The sequence below is a fragment of the Homo sapiens genome, chromosome 11, assembly GCF_000001405.40.
Source record: "Homo sapiens chromosome 11, GRCh38.p14 Primary Assembly".
NCBI lineage: Eukaryota > Metazoa > Chordata > Mammalia > Primates > Hominidae > Homo > Homo sapiens.
In genome coordinates, this window is record NC_000011.10 from 92,602,992 (window position 1) to 92,622,750 (window position 19,759).

The following is a 19,759-nucleotide window of genomic DNA, read 5'->3' on the forward strand; positions in this document are numbered from 1 at the left end:
ATGGAAGGTTCATATTGCAAAGACTTCATTACTTTCAGTATGCATACTGTGAGATAGGGTGATAAATCATTTAACCCAAACTTTACTAATCAGAATAAATGTACAGAAGTCATGTGGTGATGGCTTATGTTTTCTCAGTAATTCCTGAAGTTTGGTAAGCTTCACTGGGCTTCCAAGTCATTAGAGAGAATTACAGAATTTCTTCAACTCTCTGCCACTGCCCCCTCTACACTGTGGCTGCTATTCCTGTCATGTGTTGCCCTAAGAAAAGCATTTCTAGGGGCGTGCAATTTCATAGTAACTTCTGCTTCTTTTGGAGAAACTAGATTGTATATGAATAAGGCCAAAAGCCTTAACTCACCAAAGCATAGATGAGGGAAGAATAATGAATTGTGTTCATCTGTAATTCTCAAGATTAATTGCTTGATTATTTCAATAAAAGATTTTTGCTTTTAATTAAAGCCCTATGAAACAAAATTATGCCTTGATTTCAGCAAGGTACTGGAATTTCACAAGTTCCACATGTCTCACAATTTCGATTTTGAAATTTAGATTTCATTTCAATCATTAGATATTTGGTTTTATGTCTTTGTCTTCTGTCAGAGCCCTCACTTGGGTGTGCTTCTGACCCATTTAATTCTTTATGCTTCCATGTCTTGCTTCATCTTTGGATGGTCACAACACTTAATATCAGGCTTTGTATAGAGTAGGTGTCTATTACATGTTCGTGAAATTGAAAAGCTGTAAACAGTCCACCAGATTGCTCTTAAGTAACTAGCATTGGAAATATAGTACCAAAAACCAAAAAGAACAACAACTTGTGCTTTTAAAATACGTTCTTCTTCTCTGACTTTTAGCCATTCCAGGATCTCTGTTTTCACTGGGACTGGAGTCTTATGTTCTGGATCCTGAAAACAAACTGGGATACATATTTTATCTTTCCCTTCATGCTCAGTCCAAAATACCCTACCAACTACTTATATTCAAAATGCTGTAATGTGCACCATAATTTTCCTGTGAAGCGGGCACCAACACAGCTTTCATTTGCACTGAAATGGATGTCACATGCATATTCTTGAGGTCCTCCTCAACATTTGGATGTGTTCAAGGGTTCTGTTTTCTTTTGTGAGTGCCCATCAGCTATGCTAATTAGTTTTCTGTATTACCAAACAGGAGGGAACTTCTTGAAAGTTTACCCATAGTAATACTGCTGAGCAGATAGCAAAATATGCAAAAGGTGCTTTGTAAAAGGTAGATACTAATATATATGGACCAGTTTGCTGAGTAGAGATTATTTTCTTCTTTTTAATTATGACTTTGTACTCAGGGAATATGGAATAACCTTATAAACTTAATTATATTTAATTAGTCCTTACTTCCTTCTACGTCTACAGTAGTAGGCTGTGAATTGTGAAGAAATAAATGACACAAGGATTATCTTTTCTGCAGGTGATTAGTTGATAATCCTCCCTGGGTAGTCTCCAGTCTCACAGATTATCCCCTAGGCCAACTCATGCTATCCTGCATGACCACATTACTCTTCCAAATACAGAATTTCCTTCCCTTAAACTAGATATGGGTATTTTGGCACTCACTGCTTTTAGTAATTGACCCTAATGTCTATACACATCCTGCGTCACCTTACTCTGTCTATACTCATCCTGTATCACTTTGCCCTGTATATACCCATCCTGTATCACTTTGCCCTGCTCCCAACAGCAGCTTTGGCTTCCAAGAGGGCTGGTCTTTGCTCCTCTGAGCCCCTTCCTGGCATGGCACAGCTACATCTCAGCCAAACCAAGGAAGGAGTGATATTTAGTAATGACTGGAGAAAAGAATTCAAGATCAGGCAGGTCTGGGTTCATCTGTGGGCTCTGCTAGGCATTAGCTAAGTGCCCATGAACAAATTATTTAACCATTTTGAGTTATGTTTCCTCATCTGTAAATATAATGCCTTCTGCGTGATGCTTATGAAGATAAAAACAAGATATGTACAGGAAGCATTAGGCAGTGCCTGGCCTAGGACAGGTGCTGTTCTCAGTGTATAAATCTAAAACAGATTTGTGTCCTGATGAAGCCTTCCCCAGTAACTGCACCATCATTACTGTGTCCCTCCTCCTGCACTTAGAATCTCAGTCACAGACTTCCTACCAGGCAGGAGCATGGATTTCATCTTCTTTTGAATTCCTACACACTACCTACTCTGACAGACAAGAAGGACTTGACAAATCCTTATTGTCTCTTGTGCAAGTGTCAAACGCAACCTTCCCTCTTATCATTGAGGCTATAAATGGGCAGCACATGTGTCAGAGGAGGCCATGATGGAGCCTCACCCTGGATGACGATCCTTCTGTCACTTCCAGGTGGGCTGCAGTGTGATGGGGCCAATGGGCATTTATCCCACAGGCACCCACTCTAACTCAGCCATGAACATAGAAGAACAGTGATTTGCAAGACAGACATGACCTCTGCCCTAGGATAAGTAATTATTTGGTGGGGAAAAGGTCCTTATATAAGCATACACATTAGTATATAATGGGGAAAACAAGGGGCTTCCATAAGAAAGAGTTAAGGAGAGAGAGGACTAATATGGTTTAGAAATTCAGGGAAATTTCCTCTGAGAGGGACAAATGGAATAATAATAGTTAAAATCACTTACAGATTACTTTGTGTACTCTTACAGATATCACAAAATTAAACCTCAAGATAATGCAATAAAATAGCTATGTTTTTTTTTTTTTTTTTTTTTTTTACAAATGAGATTTGGGGAGAGTAATTCTTCCCCAAGTCAATCCCTATTTATTGGCAGAGACTGGTCTGCTGCCAAAAATGTTCCCAGTCTTCTGCCCCTGGTTCAGTGACGGATGTGTAATACTCCTGGCGAGGGCCCCTTTGCCAGATTGCTTGCAAGCATCTGATTTCAGAATGGGTGACCAGTCAGAAAATGTGCTTGAATGTGGCAGACAGCAAATTCAGTGAGCACAGAATGTCATCCTTTAACCAAAAACTCATGTTCTCTCCTCATTTGCAAGCTGGGCAAGTTAGGGTATTATAAAGCTTCTGTGTTTTTCCATCATTAGACAGAGTGTCAACAATTGGTGAGTGAGCCCTAGTCTTTGACTCCCTCCTGATTTATATTATACTATTTCTGTTAAGTCAGGAAACTATGCCAGTGTTTTCTCCATCAAACTAGATATGCATTTTCTGTTACGGCAGTGTTTGTGCCTAATGCTTCTGTCACAGGAGTTTCCTTATGGGGTTTTACTTCTAAAGAATTACTAGGGAGAAAATTCTGTTGTCATTTGGCATGAAGCCACACCATCCCTTCCAGGTTGTTGGTTTGCAAGCATCCCTCCTTCTGCCTGAAGGAGAGTGCAGCATGCATGACCTTCTAGGAGAATGGAGACTTCCCCAGGTTAGGGAGCTGGCACCCTTTAGACAGTACCTGGGCTTTGCCTGCAGCTCAGGCATGCTGGAGAGGTGGGCTGCTTTGGGGCTGCTTCTGCTCTCCCACCTCGTCTTTCCAGCTCACCGATTAGCAAATGTCTTCACTTGCTGAAGATGGTAATAGCAATGATAAAAGCACTCTCATTTGTTGAGTGCTGTCTCAGTGTCAGTCATTCTGCTAACTTTTTTATGTGTGTGGTTTCATTTAGTCCTCACCACTATTTTCTGAGGTCGCTATAATTAAATCACATCTTAGAATTCAGGAAGCTGAGACAAAATGGCCAACTGACTTGTTCAAGGCACAAAATCAGTAAACTGTGGAACTAGCACTTAAAGCTGGTTCTGTCAAAATCACAAGCCTGTTTCTTAACTACTTTGTATAGGCTTTGGAGCAGATGAGGGTAGGAAGTGCCCACACCTCACTTCCATTTTGTATCATCTGACCCACTATGGGTCCCCTGCCCAAGACAGTGAAGGTGGCTGAGGGGCAATGGTCATTACCATGACTCTGACATTTGGATAGATTTCAGAGGAGCTTTAGTGCCTCCCTGCATCTTCATCTTCTCTGTTCCACACCACCTCGCCATTAGCCATGAATAGATATCACTAACCATCACAACTCGTGGATGTCCTTAGTGTTCACCTAAATAGCCTATCCTAATGTTTGTACCCTTGATTGAAAGATTCCAGTTGGAAAACCAACTCATATTTTGGTAGATTTAAGTCTTCTATGATGGTTTGAAATTTTCATTGGTGATCAGTGAAAATATTCACTGGAATCTACCTTATGATATGATTTCCCTTGTAGCCTCTCATCTCTTCATGCATCACCCTGATAGGTAAAGTAGCCTGGCTGCTGAAAGAGGAGACTAAGGAAGGGGGGTGGGGGGAAATGACTTGCCCAAAGTCATGCAGTTAGTGGACTTCATCTGTAATCCATCTGATTAAAGAAACATGACAACAATTACATTGATTTTTTTAAATGAACTTTTAGACAAATTTTAATATAGCATTTGGTTAATAACAGAAAATTTTGCCTTCTGAGGGGACTTTATCTGCCTTCCCTCACTGCTTTAAACTAGCTTTAAAGCAAATGTTTGGCAGTTTCTTAAATATATGAAGGGATAATTGTTGTTTTGCTGTTCAGTTGTAAAACAAATTAACCAAGTAGAACTATACTTTAAACGTGTATTTTGTAGTAGGATAAACAATTCAAATGCTGAGCATCCTTGTGAATACCATGTAATTAAAATTGTCCCCATATTTTATGTGCTATATGATATTATAATCTGTTCTTTCCACATGAGTCACATTATTTAGTCATAAAATTACTACCAATTTCTCATTTACCTTTAAAACGGAAAAGGCAACACTTTACTTTTCTTGCTGATTTATTTTGAGGCCAGTTTTCTATATACCTTTAATATTACCACTTTCCCCTTTCTATAACCCTTTCCAATTTCCTTTGTCCCGATAAGACTTTGAGCTGGCATCTATCATATCTACCTAAATTTCCTTAGATTTGTGATCAAGTAAATAGAGTACCTTCCATTTCTTGAACTTTTTTTTTTAATCTTAAAATGAAATACTACAAATACCATGACATCTAACACTGTGGTTGAGGGTTTAAGTATGTTCAGGAAATTAAAAGCTAGGATCCCTGCAGGAACCATAAGATTATGATACACGGATAAGTGTAACAAGTTTCACATGTATCTGAAAGAGCTGAGTCATCACTGCCTTTTTGTTGTGAACAAGTATCAATTCTCTAACCTTAGAATCTTCAAACATTAATTTAATGCATTTTATTTCCATTTCTAGTGAGTTGTTTGAGGCAATATTACACACATGAGTTCTGATGGGTTTTATGTTACGAGGATATTGATACTTGTCAATGCTCAGGTAATTTACTTTTCGTTTTCAACTCCTTATGGAATGTTATGCTGTTAGTTGTTACTTTTCAACCTTGTGTTCATGCTTTCATATTGCAATTACTCAGTTTTTAATATAAAACTAAATGGAAAAACCTGCTTGGGTGTGAAATATGTGAGTTTGCAGGTTATATATTTTCTGCTTGTTTCTTCTTCTTGCATCATGCTCCAGAATTTCTTCAGGCACTCTTTCTCAACCGCACAATGAAACAAGATATAGCTTTTAGAATGGGCTACCTGATTGTATATTAGTATTCCTGGGTAATTATGCCTATGAGAATCAGAGAACTGATAAAAACCTAATAAATAGTGAGATAATATTCTCCATGAAAATATAGTCCTGAATTCAGCAATAATAATAATAATAATAATAATACTCCTCACATGCAACACAGCAATATTCCACTGCAGCCATCAATGCCTAGGGAACAGCATCTCTGTCTGGAAGGTTGGAAGGAACTTCAAGGAGTCACCAGGAAACATTGAGAACCTCCCTTTGCAGGGGCCTGCTGGGAAGACTTAGGAAGCATACTGGTGCCATGCCCAGGCTTCTGGAGGCTACAGTATCATGGCACAGAGCAAGAAAGAGAGAACCTTTGGATAAACAGGAGTCTTTCTCAGAGATACTCCCGAATTTTGCATTTCTGTGGCCATGGTTTATGAATGCTGCTGTTTATGAATGCAGCTGTTTCAAACGCTCTTTACATAAATTTTGATTATTATACTCTTGAGCATTTACAAAGCAAAGAGGTGATTTCTTTTTTACTGATATTTATTCATGATTTCTGAATAATTAACTGTGGGTGGTTCAGTTGTCAGAACTCTAGTGAACTTGGACACTTTTGCTCCATTGTGTCTCTGTGCCACTTCTGTAGCAGAAGCAAACTTTTAAGTCATTCCTTGATAACAGCAAAGTGCTTACAGAGGCTCAAAATGGAGGAGGGGAGTCTCTGACTAGTATTTAGTATGAATGTGGGTTAAAACCTGTTTAGAATTTGCAAGTGGCTATATCTAATTTTCTGGTGTCTTTGACAGTCTGTGTATATTTGATGTAATGCACATTAGTTTGCATGTTAGCCTATGTTTTAAATGTGTACTATACAAATCCCTGGTGGAATTTGAATTTGGATTCAGTTTTTGAATTTATGAAAAACAAGTATACCAAAAGCTCATTGTAGCTCAGGTATTGTCTAAGCTGAATTAAGTGCTCAGCAAAATAATGTATTTTGGTATCAAAGCAAGTTTTGCTATTAAAAATAACCTAAAGATCAAATATGAAAGTGAAAACCAACAACTATCAACCTGCAAATAAAATAATTTTCATCTTGTGAATAAGAGAGTAAACTAGAAGGATATAATATGAAAGTGTGTGTGTGTGTCTATGATTTAAGCATATCATTTCTTATTGATGTAGTTTCAGTTATAGTCTACAAATAGGCTTGGAAGCTGTATCATATATTAGCATTTTGTGGAGTTCAGACATTGGATAATTTACATAAAACTACTTGAAATAGGCAGACTAAAACTATTTTTTGTTAGTAAGTAAAATTAAGATTTATTTATTAAGTTTGAAACTTCGTCAATAATTCTAGAAATAAATTCCCATTCAGGCTTCTCATTTTTGTACATTGATACTGCACAAAGCATTTTTAAGCAGATTCCTTTTGAGTTTTTTTTCTTCATAATACAAACTTAAGTAAGTCGATATTATGTGAAAATTTAAGGTAATTTAATTTTGATTAAGGTGACATTTACTAGTGCACTTGTAAAAGGGATTTGCTAACTGAATTAAATGATTAAACTAAATTAGCAATAAAATTCACATGAGAAGGGGTGTTTCAGTTACCCTTGCAGAAAATTTTTATTGAGCATCTAGCCGATGTATAGCTTTCAGTCATATGCAAATTTTTCTTAAGGACATTTATTTCTTTTTAAATTTTTTAGACACAACCAGGACTTTGTCAAGTAATTCTAATAAATTCTACACAGGCCTTCAAACAGGTTTGTGTTTTATCTGAAAATTCTTTGATAATGTTTATTTATGTTGTAATACTCATTTTTAAAGTATTAAGCTGTACTCCTTAAAAACTGTCTTTAAGTTGAACCAGTTGTATAGTTTAGACCAATATTTAGGCCCAACTTCCTTTTTTAGACTTTCAAGTGTCTTTTTTCATTTTCTCCTTCGAAGTTACAGGCTTCAGAGATCCCTCCTTTTACCTTCAAAATCTCAGTTTAAGCCTCTTGTCCTCAGGGGAGCTTTCTCTGGCATCTCAGATCAGCTTGGGTTCCTTTTTATATGATCCCAAAGCATCCACCGTTTCTTTTTTGCACTTATCATAATTGAAATGATATAGTTTAAATATTTCTTTAGTGTTTTCTTCCCCTCACTCCTACAAGCTTCACAGAATAAAGACCATGTTCATCCTGCTCACTTACAGTGCCTGGCACACAGTAGGCACTTAGACATTTGTGGAAGGGATGATTGAGTGCATAAAGACTGCAGCAGGCTGAAGCCTCTGCCTCCTCCCTGTGAGATGCTTTTGTCTGAACCCATTTAGTGTTTATAGGAGAATATCCCTAAGCCCAAGATTAAGGATGAATTAAACCCAGTTTCTTTCTTTGACCTTGAATCTTTCATTTGTCCTATTCTGCTGGCCGTTTTATTGTCTCTGATCTTCAAAAACATTTTTCCCTAGTTCAGGGAAAAATGAGTAAACAGCCATACAAGAAGATTATTAAGTGACTATCTTCTCTCTATTTATTTATTTATTTAAGAGACAGAGTCTCACTCTGTCACCCAGGCTGGAGTGCAGTGACAATCATAGCTCACTGCAGCCTTGACCTCCTGGGCTCAAGTGATCCTCCATCCTCAGCCTCCTGAGTACCTGGGACTGCACCATCTTGCCTGGCTAATTTCTTTTTTTCTTACAGAGACAGGGTCTCGTGATGTCACCCAAGCTGATCTCAAACTACTGAGCTCAAGCTCCTCCTTCCTCTGACTCCTCCTTCCAAATTGTTGGGATTGCAGGCATGAGCCACTATGCCCAGCATTTTTTGAAACAGGGTTTTGCTTTGTCTCCCAGGCTAGAATACAGTGGTGTGACCTTGGCCCACTGCAACCTCCACCTCCCGGGTTCAAGCGATTCTTGTGCCTCAGCATCCCAAGTTGGTGGAACTACGGGCCCAGCTAACTTTTGTATTTTTAGTAGAGACAGGGTTTTGCCATGTTAGCCAGGCTGGTCTTGAACTCCTGGCCTCAAGAGATCCGTCTGCTTTAAACTCCCAAAGTGCTGGGATTGCAGGCATGAACCACTGTACCCTGGCCCACCCTTCTATTTCTTGATATACTCCAGTGGTATAGGAATTATAGGGGGAGAGAGGAAATCAAATTGCAATGATCTCAATGGAGGTTATTCAGAAAATATTCTAAAAAGGCCAAAAAGGCCAAACATCTATACAACTTATAAGAAAGAAGAATGGAGAAGTTAGTTGATACTGTGGAAGAAAACTTGACAAGCACATTTGTTTTCACCGCATACCCCTTTAGTAAGTTTCTTAACCTTTTTGTGCTTCAGTTTCTTGACCTTCCAAATGAGGGGAGAACAGTAGGACCTACCTAATAGCAACCCCATTAGGATTAAAGGAGACAATAAGATAATACATAAACAGTGCTTAATTAATGTAGTACTAGGCACATTGGGAACATTTAATAACTATTTTATTGTCTCCCTATATTTAGAGTTAACCCAGAGTGATAGCATCTCTGTGTTTTTCTTTCCTTTTTTTACTTGTAATAGTGTTTTTCCATACAAAGCCATTTCAGTTTTATACTACACATTTTGTCTCTTTGTCCCAGAATAACTACAGAAATGACAATTGGTCACTTTTCTCTCCACCTCACCCCTGCGAAAATCTCCCACTTTGCAAACTGACTCAGGGCCCATGCCCAATAATGAGAATGAGAAGAAATCATTTTATCAGTTTTGCTGGTAGATTTTTTTCTCAATTAGAAGAATAAGAGAATGTTGGAGAATTCAGCAGGACTTAGAATGCTGGTTCATTGGGGAACATAGATACAGCAGAGTAAGAAAAATTGGAAGAAATAAGAACTGGGACTTCTTTATCTGAATAAAGCCAGGATTTCTATGCAATTCAATCAGAAGACCATTTTTTAAAATGTGGGGAATTGAATTGATAAAGATTGATTGAATAGAAGTAACACAAATTGTGCTGGAGAAAAATGATGGTGTTCTCTCTGCTGGAGCCAAACCTCTTGCTCACTTAAATTCTAGTGTGGGGACAGTTTATACTGTACTGCAACATATAATTAAATAAAATACGTTTCAAGGAAGTGCTGTGTGAAGTTTGCAGGTGGGAACGATGGCAGTGGATGGAGGAATCAGGAGAAGCTTCCTGAAAGATAGTGGCATTCAGGACAGGTCTGGAAGGATGGATGCAGTTTTGACATGTGGAGGTAGAACCCTGAAAGGATACTTCAGGCACAGGGAATGGGGTGAGCAAAGGCACAAGGGTGGGAAGATGTGTGGGAAATGGTGATAGCTAATTCAGTATGCATGTGTGCTATGCCAGTGTTGGGAGGAAAAGACTGAGTAATGCAGCATAATAGGTAGGACGGGATCGTAGAGTAACCCTTCTTTTTCTACCTCACTGAAAATGTATCCTAAATTTGGAATCATTTAAGTTCTTTAAAACCTTCTTGGATTCTAAGATCAGAGTTTCCTATAGATCATGTTCAAGTATTCAATGGGCTCCATATGTGCAGCTTTTTCATTCTGTCCATCCTAATATTGTTTAGAATAATGCCTCTTTCCCTCCTTTGGTCGAGAAGACTTTGGAACTCACCAGATGAGGCCATTCACAGGTGTGACTTCCAGCCTCTTGCTTCTCCTCATTTGTAGAAATACAAATCACTCTACCTTCTATTTAGGACTTAAGAAAAATAGAGTTCATTTTAAAATGTCATTTTTGAGAATGAGACTATTGAGTTCAAAAGTAATTAAATATTTTTTTTAAAAAAAACTAAGTTTAAAAATAACACAATTAGCCTCTAAACCAAATTCAGATTAATTTAAAAGTGATTAGAACGAAAACTGGTTCTGACACTTGTTTTAATCGCTGTTTTTAAGTATTTATTTTTAAAATCACATGAGCATATATGTATGCATATTTAATAACCCACCAACTCTCTTCTCTCTTTATTCCTCTGGGATTACCCTCCAAACCCCATCTTCTAGCCTCTGTTTTGGAGCTGGCCTAGGAAAATGAGGAAGCTGAATCCCTAAGAGCTCTCCTCATCACGGTATCAGGCAACTGTACTGGGAAGCTGATCATTGGTGTTTTGGGAGTAAAATAAGTGATAGAGGATGTGTGTTGTTCATTTGCTTGCCTTTTAAAGTGTACAGTTCAGTGATTTTTAGTTTATTCACAGAATTGTGCATCTGTCACCACAATTTTAGGACATGTTATAGCCCCAAAAGCAAACATTTTACCCATTATCAGTCACTTCCCATTTTCCTTTAATCCCCCCAGACTTCAGCAACCATATGTCTATTTTCTGTCTCTGTACATTTGCCTACTGTGGACATTTCATATAAATGGAATCATGTAATATATAATCTTATATGACCAGCTTCTTTTACTTAGCATGTTTTCAAGGGTCATTAATATTGCAGAGTGTATCGGTATTTCATTCTTTCATATTGTAGAATAATATTCCATGGTATAGATATACCATGTTTTATTTATTAATTCATCAGTTAATGGATATTGGGACTGTTTCCATGTTTTTTTGGCTATGATAAATAATACTGCTATGAACATTCATGTACAAGTTTTTGTGTGAATACATATTTTCATTTGTCTTAGGAATATACATAGGTATGGAATTGCTAGGTCATATAGTTATACTATATTAACATTCTAAGTAACTGCCAGACTATTTTGCAAAGGTGCTGGACCTTCTTGCATTTCCTGAGCAATGTACGAGGGTTCCATTTCCCAACATTTTTATCAACACTTGTCATTATCTGTTTATTTTGATTCTAGCCATCCTACTATGTTCAATGTGTTCTTATTTTGGTTTTGATTTTGATTTCTCACATGGCTAATGGTGTTGTGTATCTTTTCATGTGCTATTCACATCCTTTGCCCACTTTTTGATTAGGTTGTTTGTCATTTTATTATTAAGATATAGCCGCTCATTTGGTATTCTGGATAGAAATTCTTCGTATGATTTATGATTTCCAAATTATTTCTCCTGATCAATGCATTGTCTTTTCACTTTCTTGATGATCTTATTTGAAGAAAAAAAGTTTTACAATTGTGATGAAATCCAATTTATCTTCTTTCTTTTCTCACGTGTGTTTTTTGTGTCATACCTAAGAAGTCTTTGCTTCTAACTCAAGGTCACAAAGATTTAATCTTATATTTTCTTCTAAAAGTTACATCGTTCTTACATTTAGATCTATGATTCATTTTGAATCAATTATTTTGTATAATATGAGTAGAGATCCAACTTCATTCATTTTTTTATGGCTATCCAGTTGTCCTAGCACTATATGTTATGTCTGTACAATATATTCCATTCCTGCTGAATTGTCTTAGCACCTTTGTTGAAATCATGTGACTATAAATGTAAGCATTTATTTCTAAAGTCTGTCTCATTGGACTATGTGTCTATTCTAGTGCTAGTACAAAATTGTTTGGATTATTGTAGCTTTACTGTAAGTTTTGAAATCAAAATGAATGACTCAATCAACTTTATTCTTTTTTAAGATTGTTTGGGCTATTTTGTTCCTTGCATTTTCATGTGAATTTTAGAATCAACTTGTTAATTTCTTTTCTTCTTATTATTTTTATTTACTTAATTTTTTTGAGACAGAGTTTCGGTCTTGTTGCCCAGGCTGGAGTGCAGTGGCACGATCTTCGCTCACTGCAACCTCCGCCTCCTGGGTTCAAGCAATTCTCCCGCCTCAGCCTCCCAAGTAGCTGGGGTTACAGGCACCCACCACCACGCCTGGCTAATTTTTGTATTTTTAGTGGAGACAGGGTTTCACCATGTTGGCCAGGCTGGTCTGGAACACCTGACCTCAGGTGATCCACCCACCTCAGCCTCCCGAAGTGCTGGGATTACAGGCGTAAGCCACCGCGCCTGACCTAGTTCTTTTAGTTATGATGTTAGGTTGTCAATTTTAGATCTTTCCTGCTTTCTCTTGTGGGCATTTAGTGCTATAAATTTCCCTCTATGCACTGCTTTAAATGTGTGCCAGAGATTCTGGTATGTTGTGTCTTTGTTCTCATTGGTTTCAAAGAACATCTTTATTTCTGCCTTCATTTCATTATGTACCCAGTAGTCATTCAGGAGCAGGTTGTTCAGTTTCCATGTAGTTGAGTGGTTTTGAGTGAGTTTCTTAATCATGAGTTCTAGTTTGATTGCACTGTGGTCTGAGAGACAGTTTGTTATAATTTCTTTTCTTTTACATTTGCTGAGGAGTGCTTTACTTCCAACTACGTGGTCAATTTTGGAATAAGTGTGATGTGGTGCTGAGAAGAATGTATATTCTGTTGATTTGGGGTGGAGAGTTCTGTAGATGTCTATTAGGTCCACTTGGTGCAGAGCTGAGTTCAATTCCTGGGTATCCTTGTTAACTTTCTGTCTCATTGATCTGTCTAATGTTGACAGTGGGGTGTTAAAATCTCCCATTGTTATTGTGTGAGAGTCTAAGTCTCTTTGTAGGTCTCTAAAGACTTGCTTTATGAATCTGGGTGCTCCTGTATTGGGTGCATATATATTTAGGATAGTTAGCTCTTCTTGTTGAATTGATCCCTTTACCATTATGTAATGGCCTTCTTTGTCTCTTTTGATCTTTGTTGGTTTAAAGTTTGTTTTATCAGAGACTGGGATTGGAACCCCTGCTTTTTTTTTGTTTTCCATTTGCTTGGTACATCTTCCTCCGTCCCTTTATTTTGAGCCTGTGTGTGTCTCTGCAGTGAGATGGGTCTCCTGAATACGGGACACTGATGGGTCTTGACTCTTTATCCAATTTGCCAGTCTGTGTCCTTTAATTGGAGCATTTAGCCCATTTACATTTAAGGTTAATATTGTTATGTGTGAATTTGATCCATCATTATGATGTTAGCTGGTTATTTTGCTCGTTAGTTGATGCAGTTTCTTCCTAGAATCGATGGTCTTTACAATTTGGCATGTTTTTGCAGTAGCTGGTACCGGTTGTTCCTTTCCATGTTTAGTGCTTCCTTCAGGAGCTCTTGTAAGGCAGGCCTGGTGGTGACAAAATCTCTCAGCATTTGTTTTTCTGTAAAGGATTTTATTTCTCCTTCACTTGTGAGCTTATTTTGGCTGGATATGAAATTCTGGGTTGAAAATTCTTTTCTTTAAGAATGTTGAATATTGGGCCTCACTCTCTACTGGCTTGTAGAGTTTCTGCCGAGAGATCTGCTGTTAGTCTGATGGGCTTCCGTTTGTCGGTAACCCCCACCTTTCTCTCTGGCTGCCCTTAACATTTTTTCCTTCATTTCAACTTTGGTGAATCTGACAATTATGTATCTTGGGGTTGCTCTTCTTGAGGAGTATCTTTGTGGCATTCTCTGTATTTCCTGAATTTGAATGTTGGCCTGCCTTGCTAGGTTGGGGAAGTTCTCCTGGATAATATCCTGTAGAGTGTTTTCCAACTTGGTTCCATTTTCCTTGTCACTTTCAGGTACACCAGTCAGACGTATATTTGGTCTTTTCACATAGTCTTATATTTCTTGGAGGCTTTGTTCATTTCTTTTTACTCTTTTTTCTCTAAACTTCTCTTCTCGTTTCATTTCATTCATTTGATCTTCCATCACTGATACCCTTTCTTCCACTTGATCAAATTAGCTACTGAAGCTCATGCATTCATCACGTAGTTCTCATGCCATGGTTTTCAGCTCCATCTGGTCATTTAAGGTCTTCTGTACGCTGTTTATTCTAGTTAGCCATTCGTCTAATCTTTCTTCAAGGTTTTTAGCTTCTTTGAGATGGGTTCGAACTTCCCCCTTTAGCTTGGAGAAGTTTGTTATTACCAATCGTCTGAAGCCTTCTTCTCTCAACTCGTCAAAGTCATTCTCTGTCCCACTTTGTTCCGTTGCTGGAGGAGCTGTGTTTCTTTGGAGGAGAAGAGGCACTCTGATTTTTAGAATTATCAGGTTTTCTGCTCTGGTTTCTCCCCATCTTTATGGTTTTATCTACCTTTGGTCTTTGATGATGGTGACGTACAGATGGGGTTTTGGTGTGGATGTCCTTTCTGTTTGTTAGTTTTCCTTCTAACTGTCAGGACCTTCAGCTGCAGGTCTGTTGGAGTTTGCTGGAGGACCACTCCAGACCTTGTTTGCCCGGGTGTCACCAGCGGAGCCTGCAGAACAGCAAATATTGCAGAAAGGCAAATGTTGCTGCCCAATCCTTCCTCTGGATGCTTCATCTCAGAGGGGCACCCGGCTCTATGAGGTGTCAGTCAGCCCCTACTGGGGGGTGTCTCCCAGTTAGGCTACTCGGGCATCAGGGCCCACTTGAGGAGGCAGTCTGTCCGTTCTCAGATCTCAAACTCCATGCTGGGAGAACCACTACTCTCTTCAAAGCTATCAGACAAGGACGTTTAAGTCTGCAGAAGTTTCTGCTGCCTTTTGTTCAGCTATGCCCTGCCCCCAGAGGTGGAGTCTGCAGAAGCAGGCAGGCCTCCATGAGCTGCGGTGGGCTCCACCCAGTTCGAGCTTCCCAGCCACTTTGTTTACCTACTCAAGCCTCAGCAATGGTGGATGCCCCTCCCCCAGCCTTGCTGCCTTGCAGTTTGATCTCAGACTGCTGTGCTAGCGGTGAGCGAGGCGCCATGGGTGTAGAACCCTCTGAGCCAGGCGCGGGATACAATCTCCTGGTGTGCCATTTGCTAAGACCGTTGGAAAAGTGCAGTATTAGGGGTGGGAGTGTCCCGATTTTCCAGATACCATCTGTCATGGCTTTCCTTGGCTAGGAAAGGGAATTCCCTGACCCCTTGCACTTCCAGGGTGAGGCAATGCCCCGCCCTGCTTCGGCTCACACTCTGTGGGCTGCACCCACTGTCCGACAAGCCCCAGTGAGATGAACCCAGTACCTCAGCTGGAAATGCAGAAATCACCCGTCTTTTGCGTGACTCACGCTTGGAGCTGTAGACTGGAGCTGTTCCTATTCGGCCATCTTGGAACCCCCTCTGGAATGGCTCTTTAAATTTTATTTTTGGATGTTTCATTGCTAATGCATATAAATACATTTATTTTTTATACTTTGAGCTCATACCCTGCAACCTTGCTGAACCCATTTATTAGCTCCAACATTTCTTTGTGTATTCCTAAGGGTCTTCTATATACAAAATCATGTTATCTACACATGGAAATAGTGCTAGTTTTTCCTTTCCAACTTGATTTTTTTTTTCTTTTTCTTATTTAATTGCCCTAGATAGAACTTCCAATAGAAATCTGAGTCAAAGCAGCAAGAGCATACACCCTTTTCTTATTCTTGATCTCAGGAACAATGGATTAAGTATTTTACCACTAAGTATAATTTAGCTGTGCGTTTTTTATGGATGCCCTTTTTCAAGTTGAGAAAGTTCTCTTCTATTCTGATTTGTTTCATGTTTTAATCCTGAAAGGGTTGTTAGATTTCATCAAACTTTTTCTGAGTCTATCAGGATGGTCATGCGGTTTTGTCTTTTATTCTATTGAAATCATGCATCATATTAATTGATTTGTAGATGTTAAGCCAACTTTGTATTTGTGGGAGAAAGCCCAATTAACCATGTTGTATAACCTTTTTTATTCTTTGCTGGATTCAGTTTGCTAGTATTTGTTGATAACTTTTGCATATATATTCATAAGAGATATAACTTTTGCATATATATTCATAAGAGATATTGATCTTTGGTTTTCCTTTCTTGTGATGATTTTGGTATCAGGATAAAACTGTCCTTATAGAATGAATTGAGAAATGTTCTCTTCTCCCCTATATTTTGGAAGAGTTTGTGAAGAATTGGTATTAATTCATTTGTAAATTTGTTCCAATTCACCAGCGAAGCCACCTGGAATTGGTCTTTTATCTGTGGGAAGATTTTTTGTTTTGCTTTTAATTATTAATTCATTCTCTGTACTTCCAATATGCCTATTCAGATTTACTGTTTCTCCCTGAGTCAAGTTTGGTATTTTCCTTCTAGGATTTTTTTCATTTTTTCTAAGTTATCCAATTTGTTGTAATATAGTTATTCATAATATGTCCCTATGATCTCTTTTATTTTTGTAAAGTTAATAGTCGTTTCTCATTTCTGATTTTAGCAATTTGAGTCCCCTCTCTTCTTTTTCTTGATCACTCTAGCTCAATTTTGTCAAATTTGTTGAGCTTTTTAAAAAAAACACTTTTAGTTTTGTTGACTTCTTTTTTTCTATTTCATTGATTTCCACCACCACCTTTCTTCTACTTGCTTTAGGTTTAATTTGCTCTTCCTTTTTCACTGGAAGTTTAGGTTATTGATTTGGTTTTTATAATACATTTTATAAATTTATAGCTATTAAAAAAGTCATTTATAGCTATCAGTTTTCCTCTAAGCATTGCTTTACTGCATCTCATAAGTTGTGGGGTACATCTATGTTATGCTTTTATTTTCATTTATTTCAAAGTATTTCTAATTTCTCTTAGTATTTCTACCTACATTGACCCATTGATTATTTAGGAGTGTGTTGTTTAATTTTCACATATATGAGATTTTTAAAAATGTACTTTTGCTATTAATTTCTAATTTTATTCCACTGTTACAAGGGAACACACTCTGTATAATTCCAATCTTTTTAAATTTATTAAGGATTGTTCTATGGCCTAATAGATGGTCTATCCTGAAGAATGTTCCATGTGCACTTGAGAAAAATACGTGCTCTGTTGCCACTGAATATAGTGTTATGTATTTTTGTCTTTGGTCTAGTTGGCTTAGAGCATTGTTCAAGTCTTCTATTTTATGGTTGATCTTTTGCATAGTTGTTCCATGGCACATGTACTTTCATGTAGAAATATCAATAGTATAAATCTTGTGCTGATTTAAGCCCTGTGCTTGAAAACATTTTACCTTTCTCCCCAGTAGCTAACTGTAGCAATAATCTTGATTTTTTTTAACCAAATTTCAGTCAAACCGTCTTCTAAGCTAATTAGGGAAACTTGTTTTAATTTATTAAGTACATTCTCATTCACACTTATTCTTCCATTATTAAAAAAAATTATATTTTTAATTGATGATTAAGACTACTGGGCTTATTCCTATCAAAGACTCTTTTATTTGATTTTTTTAAAGTTATTTCTTTTATGATTATCTTAATTCAGACTGCTGTAACGGAATACTCTGATGTGGGTGACTTAAGCAACATTTATTTCTCACCATTTAAGGCTGGAAGAGTCTGGGAATTCTAAAGTCAAGGAGCCAGCAGATCTGGTGTCTGGAAGGGGCACTTTTCCTGGATTGCAGAGAGCTGTCTTTTTGTTATGTCCTCACATGACAGAGCAGAGAGAGAAGAAGCAAGCTCTCTCATGTCTCTTCTTATATCAGCACTAATCCCATCATGCAGGCTCCACTCTAATTACCTCCCAGAGGCCTCATTTTAAACTATCATGGTATTAAAGATTAGAGTTTCAACATACAAATTTTGGGGTTGGGAGGGACACAAACATGCAATCCATACAATCACCATCCCAAATCAAGGCTGATCTTGAAAACTCCCTCCTTAAATTTTGATTCCAAAATGTAACTCTGCCTTTATCGTGATCACGTGTCTCCTTCCCAGTCAGCCAAGGGGAAATAGTTACATATGCTCTGGGTTGATCAATGAATCAAGAGTATCCAAACAGATAAATTGAAGGAGTAGGAGAATTATTTATATTATGCAGAAGGTGGGGAGAAGGAAAAAAGAGTTTTAAGAAGGTCTTTGCAAAACAACTATTTCCAGATGGACAAAATCGCTAGCACTTTTTGCTTATCCTTAAGGCTTGTATTTCATCCCCAGCTCCTCCTCCTTGAGATGTTAAAGCTTATTCAACTAGATCAATTTTTTGGAGGAGTTGGAGAAAATCAAGTGCCCCACAAAGATGCTTGGCATAAACTTCACTGTGTGATCTGGCTCACTTCTTCCAATGCCAAATGCTGCTGCAACATCACTAGGTTCCACAGCACATGCAGCTCATGGCCATCTTGTTTCTTTTAGCATTAATGATCAGGATTGTTCTTCTACTTGTTATTTTATTGTAAAGTCTTGTTCTTGTAATCCGTTCTGTTCTTTGAATGTTGTGATTCCTAAGGCCTGTTATTTGAATTGCTTGAATTCGTATATTAAGAATGGCATTAAAATTGTATATGCTTGTAATAAAAGCCAACCTCAATCAATGAATATTCACAGTGTTGTTTTTCACGCCACGATCAGCGGAGCCCTTTATCAGAAACCCCTAGGATGCGTGTTTAAAAATCAGATTTTGGCACAGTGGCTGTAGATAGTGGCTCAGGAATCTACATTTTAACAACCCACGTAATTCGAATGCATTGACATGTTTAGATCCACTGATTTAGGGGCTTGTTAAGTAGGTAGTCCATTGTAGATGCAAATTCTTATCCATTAGCCCCTAGGTAATTTTCCCCCAGCACCTTAAAAAATGTGGTGAACTGGCCTAGCCAACATGGTGAAACCCCGTCTCTACTAAAAATACAAAAATTATCCAGGCATGGTGGTGCGCCTGTAATCCCAGCTAGTCGGGAGACTGAGGCAGAAGAATCGCTTGAATCTAGGAAATGAAGGTTGCAGTGAGCCCATATCATGCCACTGGACTCCAGCATAGGCAAGAGCAAGACTCCATCTCAAAAAAAAAAATGGTGGAACATAATTATGAAAGACTTCCCAAGATTAATGCAGTTAATTCTCTTAGTAATAAAATTATTTTTGTACTAAATAGTATTTATTGATTATAAACAATAATCCCAATAATACCTTGCTAAGTAATTCTTTGGAGGCAGTAAAGTGCATACAATACTGTGTTTGTACAAGCAAATAGAGAGACAGAGGGTGAGATCATTGTTGAGTAAGATTTGATTGTGAATCCATCATTGCTGCTTCCTCAGCCTTGACTTCTGGGGAGCATCTGAGGTTTTCCCTTATGATAAGAAACAAGATTGCTATGTATATTTATATATCAACTGTCTAGCTGAAGCGTCACACATCAGAAGTCATGCATGACCTGTTTTCATGACATTTTAGGAAGAAGTAGTGGAAAACCAGCTAAAAGATTAGGAAAGAGGGCTTTTCAATTGCACGGTCACAGAGAGTTCTCA

At 38.0% G+C, this 19,759-nt stretch overlaps 1 protein-coding gene across 12 annotated transcripts in view; it reads left to right on the forward strand.

Annotated features, from left to right (window-relative positions):
* FAT3 (FAT atypical cadherin 3) overlaps window positions 1-19,759 on the forward strand; it is a 671,656-nt gene that overhangs the window by 378,174 nt on the left and 273,723 nt on the right. The window contains exon 4 of one of the 12 annotated variants that reach the window (NM_001378141.1): window positions 17,833-18,823. The exons of the other annotated variants lie outside the window; for them this stretch is intronic. Coding sequence (NP_001365070.1) covers window positions 17,833-17,942 — 110 coding nt within the window. The 3' untranslated portion in view covers window positions 17,943-18,823. Of the gene's footprint in view, window positions 1-17,832; window positions 18,824-19,759 lie in introns of those variants that run through there. 12 annotated transcript variants of the gene reach the window in all.